Source organism: Homo sapiens, chromosome 20 (genome assembly GCF_000001405.40).
Source record: "Homo sapiens chromosome 20, GRCh38.p14 Primary Assembly".
Classification (NCBI taxonomy): domain Eukaryota; kingdom Metazoa; phylum Chordata; class Mammalia; order Primates; family Hominidae; genus Homo; species Homo sapiens.
The window spans coordinates 47,663,650-47,678,387 of record NC_000020.11 but is presented as its reverse complement, the minus strand read 5'-3'; the positions used below and the strand labels follow the sequence as shown (position 1 = coordinate 47,678,387).

At 55.0% G+C, this 14,738-nt stretch overlaps 1 protein-coding gene across 18 annotated transcripts in view, besides 7 other annotated features; it reads left to right on the top strand.

Annotated features, from left to right (window-relative positions):
* The window catches only part of SULF2 (sulfatase 2), a 129,222-nt gene that overhangs the window by 108,240 nt on the left and 6,244 nt on the right, over positions 1-14,738 (top strand). For 9 of the 18 annotated variants that reach the window (NM_198596.3, NM_001387051.1, NM_001161841.2 and 6 more), the window contains exons 9-15: positions 1,254-1,310; positions 1,765-1,894; positions 5,995-6,190; positions 11,900-12,128; positions 12,435-12,531; positions 13,095-13,189; positions 14,199-14,258. In NM_198596.3, the coding sequence (NP_940998.2) occupies positions 1,254-1,310; positions 1,765-1,894; positions 5,995-6,190; positions 11,900-12,128; positions 12,435-12,531; positions 13,095-13,189; positions 14,199-14,258 (864 nt within the window). Of the gene's footprint in view, positions 1-1,253; positions 1,311-1,764; positions 1,895-5,994; positions 6,191-11,899; positions 12,129-12,230; positions 12,301-12,431; positions 12,532-13,094; positions 13,190-14,198; positions 14,259-14,738 lie in introns of all 18 variants that reach the window. The other 9 variants (XM_047440297.1, NM_001387052.1, XM_047440298.1 and 6 more) reach the window with 3 other exon arrangements.
* Positions 2,964-3,929: an enhancer, noted in NCBI's record as "H3K4me1 hESC enhancer chr20:46303203-46304168 (GRCh37/hg19 assembly coordinates)". NCBI's record gives its function as "activates a minimal SCP1, AML or CMV promoter by ChIP-STARR-seq in naive H9 embryonic stem cells {active_cell/tissue: H9 hESC(naive)}" and the evidence as "EXISTENCE:reporter gene assay evidence [ECO:0000049][PMID:30033119]".
* Positions 9,638-9,807: an enhancer, noted in NCBI's record as "active region_18004". NCBI's record gives its function as "activates an Ori minimal core promoter by ATAC-STARR-seq in GM12878 lymphoblastoid cells {active_cell/tissue: GM12878}" and the evidence as "EXISTENCE:reporter gene assay evidence [ECO:0000049][PMID:35858748]".
* Positions 10,788-11,017: an enhancer, noted in NCBI's record as "active region_18003". NCBI's record gives its function as "activates an Ori minimal core promoter by ATAC-STARR-seq in GM12878 lymphoblastoid cells {active_cell/tissue: GM12878}" and the evidence as "EXISTENCE:reporter gene assay evidence [ECO:0000049][PMID:35858748]".
* Positions 11,600-12,583: an enhancer, noted in NCBI's record as "H3K4me1 hESC enhancer chr20:46294549-46295532 (GRCh37/hg19 assembly coordinates)". NCBI's record gives its function as "activates a minimal SCP1, AML or CMV promoter by ChIP-STARR-seq in naive and primed H9 embryonic stem cells {active_cell/tissue: H9 hESC(naive and primed)}" and the evidence as "EXISTENCE:reporter gene assay evidence [ECO:0000049][PMID:30033119]".
* Positions 12,584-13,569: an enhancer, noted in NCBI's record as "H3K4me1 hESC enhancer chr20:46293563-46294548 (GRCh37/hg19 assembly coordinates)". NCBI's record gives its function as "activates a minimal SCP1, AML or CMV promoter by ChIP-STARR-seq in naive and primed H9 embryonic stem cells {active_cell/tissue: H9 hESC(naive and primed)}" and the evidence as "EXISTENCE:reporter gene assay evidence [ECO:0000049][PMID:30033119]".
* Positions 14,103-14,152: an enhancer, noted in NCBI's record as "active region_18002". NCBI's record gives its function as "activates an Ori minimal core promoter by ATAC-STARR-seq in GM12878 lymphoblastoid cells {active_cell/tissue: GM12878}" and the evidence as "EXISTENCE:reporter gene assay evidence [ECO:0000049][PMID:35858748]".
* Positions 14,183-14,322: an enhancer, noted in NCBI's record as "active region_18001". NCBI's record gives its function as "activates an Ori minimal core promoter by ATAC-STARR-seq in GM12878 lymphoblastoid cells {active_cell/tissue: GM12878}" and the evidence as "EXISTENCE:reporter gene assay evidence [ECO:0000049][PMID:35858748]".

The window sequence follows — 14,738 nt, the reverse complement described above, 5'->3', positions numbered from 1 at the left end:
TAACTGCACGGCGCTTGTGTGTGAGGCCCTATTCTAAGTACTGTGCAGGGAAATCTAGGAATTTGATCCTCACAGTAACCCAGCGAGGTGGACATTATCATCATCCCCATTTTACCAGTTTGGAATCTGAATCCCAAAGCGATTGAGTGACGTGTCGGAGGTATCCCAGCAAGTCTGGATGTAGCTCTGGGAATTCAGATGCTGACTCACCACGCCCCATAACTTTAATGCTGGAGGGTGTGATGGGAACATATTCCTAGGTGTCCAGAGAGGCAGAATAGGAACCGTGAGGGTGAGCAAGTCAGACAGGTGGGAGGTGGGCTGAGTCAGGGCGGGGAGGCTGGTGTGGCCGCAGCGACATCTGGTGGCCAGCGCTCTTAACAGCCACCAGGTTCCTGGCCTCCAGGTGCTACTTCAACTCCTGGCTTGCACCTCTGGCAGCGGAGCCCTTCCCCTGTGGCCTCCCAGAGGCTCCAGCCAGGCGAGCACTGTGTGCCCACATCTGGCTGCCCTGTAGGGGGACCGTGTCCATTGAGGCTCCTCCCCTGACTGTGAGGCCAGGCAAGCTGTAATGGTATAAAATGGACATGTTTGGGGACACTGGCCTGGGAGCCAGGACACCTGGGGGTCAGGGGACAGGGTGGAAGCTTCCCCTCTCAGCTTCAGAGTCCCCATCTAGGAAATGGAAATGACCAGGTGGCACTGGATGAAACATACAAATTACATACATGCAACTGCAAAGCACCAAAGAAGAAAATACTCCCAAAACCCAATGCAATTAACCTGACATCAAGGCAACCACTGCGCCTGACACTGAGCTCAAGACAGAGCTCAAGACGCCAAACCACTGCGCCTGATGCTGAACCACTGCGCCTGACGCTGAACTCGAGATAGAGCTCGTCTAGTGCCGGGGGAGTTGCTGGGCTTCCTGGGAGGGGCTTGAGATGTGTGTGCGCGCACACACACACACACACACACACACACACAGTTACTTGGGTGGGACTTACAGTGATTTTGACCTGGGTCATTTCTACTGTGTGTGTCTCCAGACCCAAGTCTCTGGGGAAGGGGTGGCTCAACTCAGAGGAGGGTGGGCAATGCTCTAGTGCCCAGCTGGGCACACTCACCACAATTGCTGTCCAGGCTGACCGTAAACCAAGGCTGACTCCTGGTGCCGTCCCTGCTCCTGGGGGAACGGGGGGTCGTGGGAAGCCCTCATGTTGCTGAGAAGCAGGAGCCGTGCTTTTTTCCAGGTTTCACTTGAAAAAGAAGATGAGGGTCTGGCGGGACTCCTTCTTGGTGGAGAGAGGGTGAGTGCCGGGTCCTGGGAGGGACACCCCTGCCCACCTCCCTCCCTCTGCCCAGGAAGCTTCTGTAGCCCCACCGCATCATGCTATTCAGGAGCTGCCCATGGCTCTGAAGTTGGTCCAAAGGCCCCTAAACACAAAGCCCATTCACTGCTCCTATAGACACAGAATTGGGGTCTGAGGTCACGTGTACGCTTTTGGCATGCTTTGTCCAGCCTCTACAATGTCTTCAATTTATTTAATTTATTGCCAACTCATGCAATTTGGGAAGTTTCTTATAAAATTCCAATGTCTTAAGTTTCCTAAACATCAGAAGACCCGGGCAGGTGGCCCTGCGCCCTCCACTGTGAGGAAAAGCCGGAGCCGAGGGGGCACCCCTCTAGGTGGGCACACATGCCTCCGGGGCTCCTCCAGAGCTGAGAGGCCGGCCCCGCGGCTCCTGCTCTCTGCCCCATAGCAAGCTGCTACACAAGAGAGACAATGACAAGGTGGACGCCCAGGAGGAGAACTTTCTGCCCAAGTACCAGCGTGTGAAGGACCTGTGTCAGCGTGCTGAGTACCAGACGGCGTGTGAGCAGCTGGGACAGGTAAGAAGGCTCCCTTCCCTCCCAACGGCTCCCCCTCCTGACTGCAGCCGGCCCTGACCTGCGAGGCTCTGAGAGCCGCTGAGCCAGCAGGGCCAGGGCCTCCCAACGGGTAGTCCTTTGCTGCCGTGTGGTGCCCAAGATGCTGTTTGGTGGTGCAGGATGATGCTCACAATAAGTGATTCATTTCTCAGCAGCCTTTGGACCCTGACCGTGTCAGAGGCCAAGTGTCCCGTGGGTGTGTGTATGCCCTTAGCGCCTCTCTAGCCCTTGCCGATCTCTCTTGCACGAAGGCCCCAGCAGGAGTTAAATTATTTTATTTTCACCATATTCACTTTGACAGTATCCTCTTTGTGACTGGTTTTCCTTTTATAGGAGTAATAAGACATGGCTTTTTAAAATAAATATAGGTAAGGTTTTAAAAAGTGAATTGATTGCAAGAGAAATATTAAGGAAATTATGGCCAGGAACAGTCCGTGGCTCATGCCTGAGGTCCCAGCTACTCCAGAGCTGAGGCGGGAGGATGGCTTGAGCCCACGTGTTGGAGGCTGCAGTGAGCTATGATTGCGCCACTGCACTCCAGCTTGGGTGACAGAATAAGACCCTGTCTCTAAAAACATAAGAAAAAAGAAAATTATCTGGGAAGTATCAGAGATAGCCAGAAACTGACATGTTTGGGAAAGCCTGAAGGAGGCTTTTCTGAGGCTGGAAAGCCAGGGCAGGCTTGGAGAGGAGGGTCGGGGGCGGGGCAGGGCAGGGAGGGGAGTGGGATGGAAACTCTGCCTTGGCTGGCCCAAGGGGTGCCGGAGGTGTGTCCCTGCCCTGCCTGTCAAAGGCTGGGACTTTGAGCTGGGGCTGGAGCTGTGTGCCTGTTTCACCTATGAGAAAAAGCAAAACCAGGGCCCTGGTATTGAAGGCCAAGGCCTGAAGTGGATGCGTTTCTGATGGACTGCATTTGAATGACTCCATCTTAACACTGCACACAGAATTAGTACAGGCCCATACAGGCCTGACTGTGCCTCCCCACCCAGTGTGTGTTTGTAAACCCACAGACCCCTCTTAGTCACACAATTAACCCGTATCTGCCACCGGGCAGGAGCTGTGGATTTCATCCCTCCGTTGTACAGCATGAATGCGTCCCCCCGCTTGCCAGGCACTGTCCTAGGCGCAGGGCCACAGCCTCGAACATGCTCAACAGAAGCTCCTGCCCTCCCAGAGCTGATGTTCTGGAGAGAGTTCAGCCTTGACTTTGTACCGAGATCCCAGAAGTGGTTCTGATTTTAGTTCTGGGCTAAAAGGAGTGAAATGAGGAGGCCAGGAAGTCTTTGCCCCTCGACGAGGGAACGTTGTCAAGTCCCCCACTGGTTCTTTCTGATGTCTCCCCTGACCCAGATCAGGGCTTGGGCAGCCAGAATGACCTCTTTGCTGGGGCCAAGAAAGAGGAGGTATCAGCATTTTCCAAACAATCAGAGCACACCACTGAAGCCAAAGGAAGAGAGTGCTGAGGGCGGAGTTTGGGGCACTTAGCCTAGGCCAGCTGGGAGGCAGCAACCCACGGCCCCCGACCCAGCCCCGGAGCTTTGGGGACCTCAGGCTCAGACGTCTGCCCCCCATCCCAGGCAACGGCCCTGCTCACAAGCCGGTACTCCCCGAGTGCCGTTGCCATGTCCCTGCTTGTGCCGTGCCTTCTGGAATGCCCTGCCCAGTGTAGAAGCTGTACCCTGTGGCCCGAGGACGTCTCTTAGGGGCCTCACACCCAGCCATAGCATTGTCTTGGGTACCTTGTCCGTGCTACCCCACGTGGTAGATGTTTTTTTGTCATTTGCTGAACAAACGTGCCCAGGAACCGAGCTCATGTGCATCTGTCTGTCTCCCGGTGACACGGGGACATCCTAAGGGCAGGGCCCGGCTAGAATTCATGTCATCATTGCCAAAGCCCAGACCAGGGCCCAGGCCGGGCAGGAGTAAATGTGCCCTGGGCACCTCGTAATGATGATCATCACGGGCAACACGTGAGTGTAAGCTCTACCTCCAGCCACCCTATCTGGCAGGTATGTTCTGTACACGGGGAAACTGAGGCCCAGGGCTCAGGCAAACTGCCCACAGCCTCACAGCTTCAAGTGGTGGAGGCAGGATTTGAACCCAGGTAGTTGGGCTGCGGGACCTTCGTTCTCAGCAGCTGTAGGGACCCCAAGTCAAGCCGACACTGGCCCAGCCCTGTGGGGCTCAGGCGCCGCCCCCGCCAGGACAGCCTCGGGACGGGCCATGTGGACACGGCTTCTACATGAGTAGTTGCAGGGGCAGCAAACCCTTTCCGCACAAGATCAGACAGTAAATAGTTTGGGCTTTGCAGGCCACATATTTGTTTTTGTTCTTGCTTTTTACAACTCTGAAAACGTACAATGTAAAAACCGTCCTTGGTTTGCAGGCCATACAAAAACAGGCTGTGGGCTGGAGTTGACTAGCAAGAGGGCTGCTGTTTGCCGACCCCTCAAGTCGTGCCCCAGCTGAGTTTGTTGGGTTGGAGCGGGGAGCAGGCAGTGGGGAAGGAGAATTCCAGGCAGAGAGAGCTAAGTGGACAGGAGGCTGCTCGCCAGCGCACACAGCTCAGGGCTTCACGCAGAACTCAGAGCCCTGGCTTTTCTTGAAAAATCAGACCTGGGCTTCTGGGCCTGTGCTCCCCTCTGGCGACAGTCAGATGGGTATAGCCGGTCACAGTGCCCACTTTAGCCTCCCCAGGTCCCCCAGGCGCTTCTGGGCTGGCCTCATTCAGGGCCATGCCTGCTGGCCCATCAGTCTACTTCTGCACTAAGGAATCCAGGTTGCTGGAAGGGCCTGCATGCATTGAAGGGGATGGGAGGGTGGCAGGGCGCTGTGAATGCAATTAGATTCAGCCTCCAGGTGAGAACAGATGGGCGGGACAGGGGCAAGATGAGCAGGTGAAAGGCACCAGGGCCTTCAACGGCAGCGGGCGGGGGCAGACGGTGCAGCAGAGGGTTGGGGGGGATGGTGGCACCAGACTCCACACTTTTCCTTACAGCTCTTGCACCTCCCAGTTGTGTGACCCAGGACACATCTCTCTACCTCCGTGTGCCTCATCTTGAATCGGCACAGTAATGACAGCACCTGCCTCGTAGGGTAGCGTGAGGTGTAGTAAGCAAGTTAATATATTAACACACAGTGCTTGGCACATGCTAAGTGCTGGAGAGACACAGGGAACAGATCTGACCCATGGCCTGGAAAGGTCACTTTGGCACAGAATAGGCCCTAAAGAGTCACTGGGTCAATGGGCTGGAGCAGCTGTGGACAGAAGGGAAGAGAATCCAGTTTACAGGTGGTTGCAGAATCCCGTGAGGGGATCCAGGAGGCTGGAACTGGGGAAGAGCAGAAGGATCAACACGAGAGATTTGGACAGTGATTCTATCTACATTCAGCGTCTGACCACAGGCCTGGAGTTGAGTGCACACGTGGAGCCTCTGCACACACTGCACTGATTGAGTCTGGGAAGGTGGTCAGGGGAGACCTCCTTGCGCTGGAGCAGACGGGAAGGAAGAGAAGCCTCCAGCAGCAGGAAGGGCTGGAGAAAAGGCATTCTAGGCAGAAGGAACAGTGAGCGCCAAGTCCCTGGGGCAGCAGCCCACAGGGGATACTGGAGAGAGGGCTGAGGGAGAGGAGGACCGATGGGTAGGCCAGGGCCAGATTGCAGAGGATGTTCAAAGACTAGTATCAGGAGCTTGGGTCTTGTCTTAAAGACAGTGGGAGCCATTGAAGGGTTTTAAGTAGGAGAGTAATATGATCCAACTTGCCCTTTAAAAAGATTCCTCTAGCTGCCATGTGGGTGGATTTTAGGAGCAGACAGAAGCAGGTAACCGTGAGAGTGGTGGCTGTCGGAGGCATCTCGCTGGGGGATGATGGTAGCTCTGCCCAAGGTTCAAGCAGTGGCAGTGGAGAGAAGCGGCATTGGAGATAGCAGAGGTGGGGCTCGGTAACAGCTGGATGCAAGCAGGGAGAGGGATGTCTCCAGGGTGGATGGGGGTGGCAGGGGAGAGGCGGGTTTAGGGGAGCAGATGAGCAGCTGGCCGAGGCCCTGGCATGTCTTTCAGAAGTGGCAGTGTGTGGAGGACGCCACGGGGAAGCTGAAGCTGCATAAGTGCAAGGGCCCCATGCGGCTGGGCGGCAGCAGAGCCCTCTCCAACCTCGTGCCCAAGTACTACGGGCAGGGCAGCGAGGCCTGCACCTGTGACAGCGGGGACTACAAGCTCAGCCTGGCCGGACGCCGGAAAAAACTCTTCAAGAAGAGTAAGTGTCACAACCTGGCTGAGTGGGACAGGAGGAGAGAGACCATGCCTGGGGGGCCCCATTCATTCACTCCGACAGTTCCACAGAGACTGTCACTTTGCCAGGTGGTGATCTAGGGGCTGGGGACACAGCCACATCTCCTCACGAGCCACCCATTCTAGTGGGGAGCAGTAGTAATAAACAGATAAGGCCAGGCGCAATGGCTCACGCCTGTAATCCCAGTACTTTGGGAGTCCGAGGCAGGCAGATCACCTGAGGTCAGGAGCTCCAGACCAGCCTGGCCAACATGGTAAAACCCCGTCTAAAAATACAACAATTAGCCAGATGTGGTGGCTCACGCTTGTAATCCCAGCTACTTGGGAGGCTGAGGCATGAGAATCGCTTGAACCCAGGAGGCAGAGGCTGCAGTGACCCGAGATTGTGCCACTGCACTCCAGCCTGGGCAACAGAGCGAGATCCATCTCAAAAAAAAGGAAGAAACACACATACAAGGTTCTGTATTGATTGGCTGGTGAAAATGCTAGGACCAGAGGTTCACAGGAACCCAGCTCTGTGCTTCCCCTAGGAGCCATGTTTCAGCGTTCAATTAGTCAGTGTTTGTGGTGAGTTTATAGAACTACCCTGGGCTGGGCGCGGTGGCTCACACCTGTAATCCCAGCACTTTGAGAGGCCGAGGTGGACAGATCACTTGAGGTCAGGAGTTCAAGACCAGCCTGGCCAACATGGTGAAACCCCATCTCTACTAAAAATACAAAAAATTAGTTGGGCGTGTGGTGTGGCAGCAGAGTCGCTTGAACCCGGGAGCAGAGGTTGCAGATAGCTGAGATCACGCCATTGTGCTCCAGCCTGGGCGACAGAGTGAGACTCGGTCTCAAAAAAAATAAAAAATAAACTACCCTGAAGAACAAAAATAGACTATAGTTGAGTGGGGAAAAGCCTCACTCAGCTGAAGAAGTGTCTACACCTTCACACCTCATTCTCGGCAAGGGCCGAGGAGAGGACAGTCAGACAGAAGCCAGGGAGCAGGCGAAGTGGAGAGAGGGACTCTTCTAGACCCAGCCAGAAGGCTCAGCCGCCACCCTGGGCCATCGCTTCACCATTCTGAGGCTCAGCTCCCACCATCAAACAGGAAGAATGGTCCCTGCATGACTTTAAAACAAGAATGAGCCTGTGCCCTGAAAATGTGTGGAGGCGTCGGGGTCCGCCGGCTAGAAGTGTGCCCTCCAAGGCTGGGCAGCTTCCCACGTAGCCCATTTCTCTGGCCTAAGGACAGCCAAAGCCTAATGAGAGATTTTAGGTGTTGTTTTTAAAAAAAATTATGGTGAAATTCCCATAAAATTTATCATCTTAACCATTTTTAAGTATCCAGTAGTGTCAACTATATTCCCACTAGTACGCAACCTATCTGCTAAATGAACTCTTCATCTTGCAAAACTACAACTGTCCCCATTCAACGTTATCTCCCCATTCTCCCACCCCGCTCCCACCCCCACCCCGTTCTCCCACCCCGCTCTCCCACCCTGCTGTCACCCCATTCTCCCACCCGTTCTCAGCAACCACTCTTCTTCTCTATGAGCTTGACTGCTTTAGGGGCCTCATGTAAGTGGAATTGTACAGTATTTGTCCTTCTGTGGCTGGCTTATTTCTCTTCGCATAATGTTCTCCGGGTTCATCCACATGGTAGCCTGTGTTGGAATCTCCTTCCTGATCGGGCACAGTGGCTCACGCCTGTAATCCCAGCATTTCGGGAGGCCAAGGCAGGCGGATTGCCTGAGCTCAGAAGTTCGAGACCAGTCTGGCCAACAAGGTGAAACCCGTGTCTACTAAAAATACAAAAATTAGCCAGGCATGGTGGTGGGCGCCTGTAGTCCCTGCTACTCAGGAGGCTGAGGCACTAGAATGGCTTGAACCTGGGAGCGGGAGGTTGCAGTGAACTGAGATCATGCCACTTCACTCCAGCCTGGGTGACAGAGCAAGACTGTCTCAAAAAAAACAAAAAGTCTCCATTCTTTATAAGACGGATGATATTGTACCACAGACTAGTTAGAGATTGAGGTCTCTGACGGCAGGCGCAGTGATCTCCTCTGGTCCAGCCAGCCAGGCAGCAAATGTCTTCATCGTGGAGCAGATAAGTCTCTCTCCATAACAGCCCAGCCACTGCCTGAAACACCGTTTCCCAGCTGATGACCCTCCGTTACATTTCCTCACCAGCTGATTAGGAACTACTACATTAACTTTTCTAGCTGAACAGAATGATTGGTTTCCAGATTGGATTACACAGCCAGCATCTCCTTGCTTCAATATGTGGCACAGTCGATAATCTTTAAATAATACAAGATCTGGCAGGGAGAAATTCAGCTCTTTTCCCCTTATTAATGCTTAGAGGAAAGAAAAATACCTAAAAGTAGCTGAGAGTCAGCTCAGCCCTGGTCAGAATCCTCATGTGAGTGTAATGTCAGAGCCGGGACCTGCACCTCTCAACAGCCCTGTGAGCAGGGCAGGGGTGATCATCAGGGGATGATGGACAGGAAAGACTGGGTCACGTGGCTGATTTGGGGACTCCAGCCCCATCTCCTGCCTGGCATTCTTCCCCCTGCTAGAGTCTCCGACAAGACACTCTGTCCCTCTTTTCTGAGCAGTCAGCCTAGAGCAGGCTGAACTGGGGGCTTTCTGTCCCCCAGGGGACACTTGGCAATGTTTGGAGACAGTTTTGGCTGTCACAATTGTGTGTGATGGAGGGGTGCTGCTGGCGTCTAGTGAGCAGAGGCTATGGATGCGGCAAAACATCTTGCAACGCACAGGACGGCCCCCACCACAGAGTTTGATCTGACCCCAAAGTGTCCGCAGTGGTAAGGTTGGGAAGCCCTGGCCCACCTTGATCCACGGGGATCCTGGCTGTGGCGTGGGGAGGTTAGGCAGAGCCAGCCAGCTCACAGCAGAAGGGGGACCCAGGAACAGGAGAAGGGGACGAGGACTCGGGGGATGGGCCCAGCTGACTGGGGTTCATTCATTTCTTGAACTTTGTGCAAGACACTGAGATTAGAGTTGACCTGGAGAGACACGGACTTGGACCTCATGGATGAAACAAGATGTGAACAAGTGAACAAAGGGCCACTTCCGCTGGTGAAAAACGCATGAAGGAGACGCAGCGGTGGCGGGACTAGCAGAGAGGGGTGGCGGCTCCAGAATGGCGCTCAATGGACATTTAATGAGAACAAAGTACAGAAAGGAGCAGGTCTTGTGACCAGCCAGAGAGCAAGTGTTCTGAGGAGGAGGAAGATGGAGTACAAAGACCCTGTGCTCAGAATCAGGGCGGTGAGTCCCAGTCACAGAGAGGTGACCGGTGTGGCCGAGGGTGGTGAGAAGCACCATGGGCATGGGCAGCCACATCACACAGGCGGTCACCGGCGTGGAGAGGCAGGGAGTGGGCCCAGGGTTGTCACCTTAGGTGAGGACGTCAGCTGCAGGCAGAGTCCCCACCCCCTGCAGTAGCTGGTCCACACCAGCTCATCAGGCATGAATGCTTCACTAGTTCCGTTTCGTGCCATCCTCCAAGGAGCCTTTGTAGGGTAGGCACCATCCTGAGAAGTTACCCAAATCGCCGGGGCCACACATGTGCTCAGGGGTTTGCACCTGAGCCATCTGATTGCAGAGTCAAAGCTCTTGGCCGCCGGGTTATGAAGTCCTGTCCCATTCCCTGTTGGTGTGGCAGGAAGGGTACCTCCAGGACTCTGGACATGAACACAGAGTGATGGGGAGAGCAGGTAGTGTGGCTTCAGTCCAGGAAAGGATTCACACAGGGCTGGCATACCGCTTCTGTGAAGAGCCAGAGAGTAAAGGTCTTGGGCTTTGCAACTCAGCCCTGCGACTGCAGAGGTATAAGGGAATGCGAGCAGCTGTACCCAGTGAAACTGTATTCACAAAGACAGATGGAGGCTGGCCTGGGCCCTTAGGCCATGGTTTAGGGACCCCTGAATCTAGAGCTGGGAGATGGAGGGTGGAAAGAGGCAAAGCAGCTCACTTATGAGCCGACTGAGACAAAAGGAGTGGAGAGGACACGCTGGGTCTATTTCCTGAGCCTCTCGGGGCAGGACCTGCTTGGCACAGGGACCATCCTCGGCAATTTGTGTACTTGCATCGGGAGACTAAACCGAGGGAGAGAAGTGCCCAGGAGAAGGCTGCCCTGTGTCAGAAAAGGCCCAAGGCTCTGCTGGAGAGGGGAGGCCTTTCCCGGCCCCTCAGGATCCTTCGGCCCTTGTGACTCTGATGCAAGGTGTCTGAGAACTGAAAGATACAAAACATCCCCCAAGAGTGGGGGTGGCACCCGGGCCACGTGAGAAGGGAGCCCTTTCCTCCCTCCTTCCACTGCCTTCCGCCACCACCTGCCTCCAGCTGGTCCTCTTTGGTCACCATCTCGGGGTCACTTGGGATCCAACAAAACCTGGGTCACTAACTGGCTCCAGGCCCTTCTCTTTAAATGAGGCACATCTGGAGAAGGATGACAACTGCAGTGCGTGCCTGCTGGGGCCAGACATGTGTCAGGTGGGCAGAGGTTTTAAAACAGGAAGGAGTGGCGGGGGCTGTGGCCAACAGGGAAGACAGTGGGCAGCCAAAGGGGCCGCCCATCCCCGGCCCGTCCTGACCATATGGAACTGTGGGCCCGTGAGACATCTGTTTCCTTTCTGGAAGCTGGAAATCTGGATCCCTACATCACCGCCACCACCTCCCCTTTTTCTTTAATGTTACCAACTCAGATTTGTTTTTGAGACATAGAAGATACAGGCTACCTGGGGTGTCACTTCAGCCTGCACCCCTGAGTTTTCAGCGTCAGGGCGTATGCAAAAGCCCCCCTCAGCCTTGTTGCCGGCCCACCTGGGTGTAGCACCTGCCTACCACCTGGTGGGCAGCCTCCAGCTCTCTGGGACTCAAAGAAGCTAAGTGGCTTCCCCAGTCCCCGTCCATTTCTACCCAGAGACAGGCACTGCAGGGCCCCTTTTTCCCAGTTTAAATCAACATTTTTACATCCATGATACTTTTTTTCCTTTTTAATTGAGGTGAAGTTCAGATAACATCAAACTCACCATTTTTACAATTATATACAATGCAGAGGCATTTAATAGGTTCACAGTGTTGCACACCTCTACCTAGTTCCAAAACATTTCATCACCCCAAAAGGGAACCCCGTACCCACAAAGCAGTCACTCCTCACTACCCTCTCCCCCAGCCCCTGGCAATCACCAATCTTCTTTCTGCCGCTATAGATTTACCTATTCTGGGTAGTTCCTATAAATAGAATGTAACAATACGAGCCCGCTTTGTGTCTGGCTGGTTTCACTCCGCCTGCTTTTGACATTCATCCACGCTCTAGCGTGAATCAGAACCTCGCTCCTGGTTCTGGTCGCATATTCCGTTGTACAGATGATGTACCGCCATTTGTTTACCCGCAAGCAGCTCTCGCTTGAAATCCTCTTGAGTCAGTGGCTTCTTGGCTCCAGGACTTCCGTCTTGCCGGTGTGATCACCTCGAGGCCCTCCCCTGCGGTCCAGGATCTGCGAGCAGGCGGGTAGATTCCACGACCCCTCGAGTCGCAGGCAAAGCTGAGCCTCATGCTTGGAAGCCCGGCCCTATCTTGATGAAGGACCCACTGCCCTGGGAGCCTGGCCAGCCTTTCCTGCCTCCCTAACTCTGCCACTCCTCTAATGCCCACAGAGTACAAGGCCAGCTATGTCCGCAGTCGCTCCATCCGCTCAGTGGCCATCGAGGTGGACGGCAGGGTGTACCACGTAGGCCTGGGTGATGCCGCCCAGCCCCGAAACCTCACCAAGCGGCACTGGCCAGGGGCCCCTGAGGACCAAGATGACAAGGATGGTGGGGACTTCAGTGGCACTGGAGGCCTTCCCGACTACTCAGCCGCCAACCCCATTAAAGTGACACATCGGTGAGTGTCCAGGTGGAAGTCGAGGGTGAAGGGGACAGGACAGACCTCGGCAAAGGGCTTCCCACACCTCTTGGGCCCCTGAGGACCAAGATGACAAGGATGGTGGGGACTTCAGTGGCACTGGAGGCCTTCCCGACTATTCAGCCGCCAACCCCATTAAAGTGACACATCGGTGAGTGTCCAGGTGGAAGTCGAGGGTGAAGGGGACAGGACAGACCTCGGCAAGGGCTTCCCACACCTCTTGGGCACCTGGGCTGCTCCCCCTCCACCACCTCCGAGCCACACGTGATCCCTTCTCTCAAGCAGGTGCTACATCCTAGAGAACGACACAGTCCAGTGTGACCTGGACCTGTACAAGTCCCTGCAGGCCTGGAAAGACCACAAGCTGCACATCGACCACGAGGTGAGTGGAGAGCGGGAGAGGAGCATGCTCTCGGCCACCACGGGCCTGGCAGGACCCCCGGTTCACAGTGGGAGGGCAGTGAGGCCAGACCCAGGGAAGAGGCTGGAGAGGTGAAGTGAGGTCCCCACAGATTCCTCAACGCGGGGATAGGTGTCAGTCCCAGCATGAGACAGATAGCTTCCTGCCCAGGCCGTCTGAGGGACGATGGCTTAGCCACGTTGTCCCCCTTTTGACTTACAAGAAGTCTACGCTACAGGAGGCCTTTCATCAAACCCAGGGGAGACACTGGAGGCCTCAGTGGGCTCAGCGGGTTCCTGCGCAGGCCAGGCCGGAAAAATGACTCGGTTCCCTTGCAAGGGCTGGCTGGAGGAGAAGGCGGGCTTCCTTCAGGCAGAACAAGTACCTCCTCCCCACCCAGACATGCCGGTGCTTGCCCTGGGGCCCGGGGAGTGCAGGCTGCCGCTGCTGAGCACAGACACGGCAGCGTGGGGGCAGTCACCAGGCCAAGTCTTTGTTGTCCAGCCTTGAAGGTTTCAAGGCCTCCTCTTCTGCCCCTCCCTCAGATTGAAACCCTGCAGAACAAAATTAAGAACCTGAGGGAAGTCCGAGGTCACCTGAAGAAAAAGCGGCCAGAAGAATGTGACTGTCACAAAATCAGGTGAGGCAGTAGCAAAGGGACCTCCCTAAGACCCCACTCTCCTACAGGACAGTTCAGTTCATCCCCTCTCGTGATTGACCCCTTTCATTTTTTATTTTTATCTTTATCTTCTCCCCTCATGGCATTAAAAAAATCCGTAATTTACCTCCCTGTTGTCAGCCAGTGTGGCACACGGACCTGCTCCTCAGCCAGGCTGGCGCCCAGATTCCAGTACTGCTAGCAAGAGACCCGTGCTGGCTGCGCAGAGCCGGCTCCAGGCCGGAAAAGTGCCTCTGCCGATTGCCCTTTCAGAAATCCCCCATGTGGTTTGAGGTCCATGTTCCCGGCTTAGGGGTCCCCTGGCCCAAAGGACTGAACTCTAGAACAGCTCTAATAGAACATTCTGTGCTGACGGAAATGGGCTATATCTGCACTACACCACACGTGGCTGGTGCATACTTAAAATTTTGGCTAGTGTCACTAAGGAGCCAAATTTTTTATTTTGCTTAATTCAAATTGAAGTAGCCACCTGTGGCCAGTGGCTACCATACTGGACAGCACAGCTGTAGAAGCCCTGCTGTCTTTCCAGAAAGTGTTGCAAAACACAGGCTTCCCTGTGTTGACCCCGACCAAGTGTGAGTAGGCAGGGTGGTGAGGGAACCAACCTCAAGATGCTGAGGCTTTGACATGTAAAATTAACCATCAAAAAAGAAAGGAAAAAGGATGCTGAGGCTGATGCACCTAAAGCCAGGCCCAGCTTCTAGTCGTGGCTAAATTACAATTAACCCAACCTGCTAAAGTCTAGCAAAAGTCCAGGCAGAGTCCTGGCTCATGCTTGGAGAAAGAAGCCACTCAGGCAGGCACCTGCTGCCCTGAGGATAGGGTCATGCCCTACCCACCACCACCCCAGAAGGAGGGACAGGGGTGGGGCAGCAGCAACACATGGGAGTCCCAGAAATCACAGCTTGCACCTGCCAGCGGAGCCCTCTGAGCCACTCCTGAAGCCTGGGGCTGGGGGGGTCTGTTACAGCTACCACACCCAGCACAAAGGCCGCCTCAAGCACAGAGGCTCCAGTCTGCATCCTTTCAGGTAAGAGCAGCTTGAGGTCCTGGGGAAGAGATGCAGAGGCCTGCATGAGGAGGTGGCCCTCCCTTAAGCTAAAACTCAGAAGAAAAGGAAAGAAGTCCAGGCCCTTCCCTGGGAAGTCCACGGTAGCCCTCGAAGAGGCCTTACTTCCCAATCAACACTGAGCGGGCCTCCGACGCCCCCTTGTGGCTAAATGGGGTTACCGCAACTCCACCAAGCAGGGCAGGACACAGGAAGGAGGGGAAAGGGGTGTCAACAGGAGTCCCAGTAGCTGCCTGGTTCTGTCCCCAGCTTGTGCCCCCTTGGGAGTTAAAGTAGAATGACAAGACCCAGGTTCTGGTCCCGGCTCTGCCTTGGAGCAGCACTGGGACTTGGGACCCTGAATTGCTATGCCCATGGCTCTCTGTTGGAGAAGCCTCAGCGAAGCCCTTAGGTGGACAGGAAGAGCAGAGACATGGGGTCACTGATCCCTCAGAGGCCCAA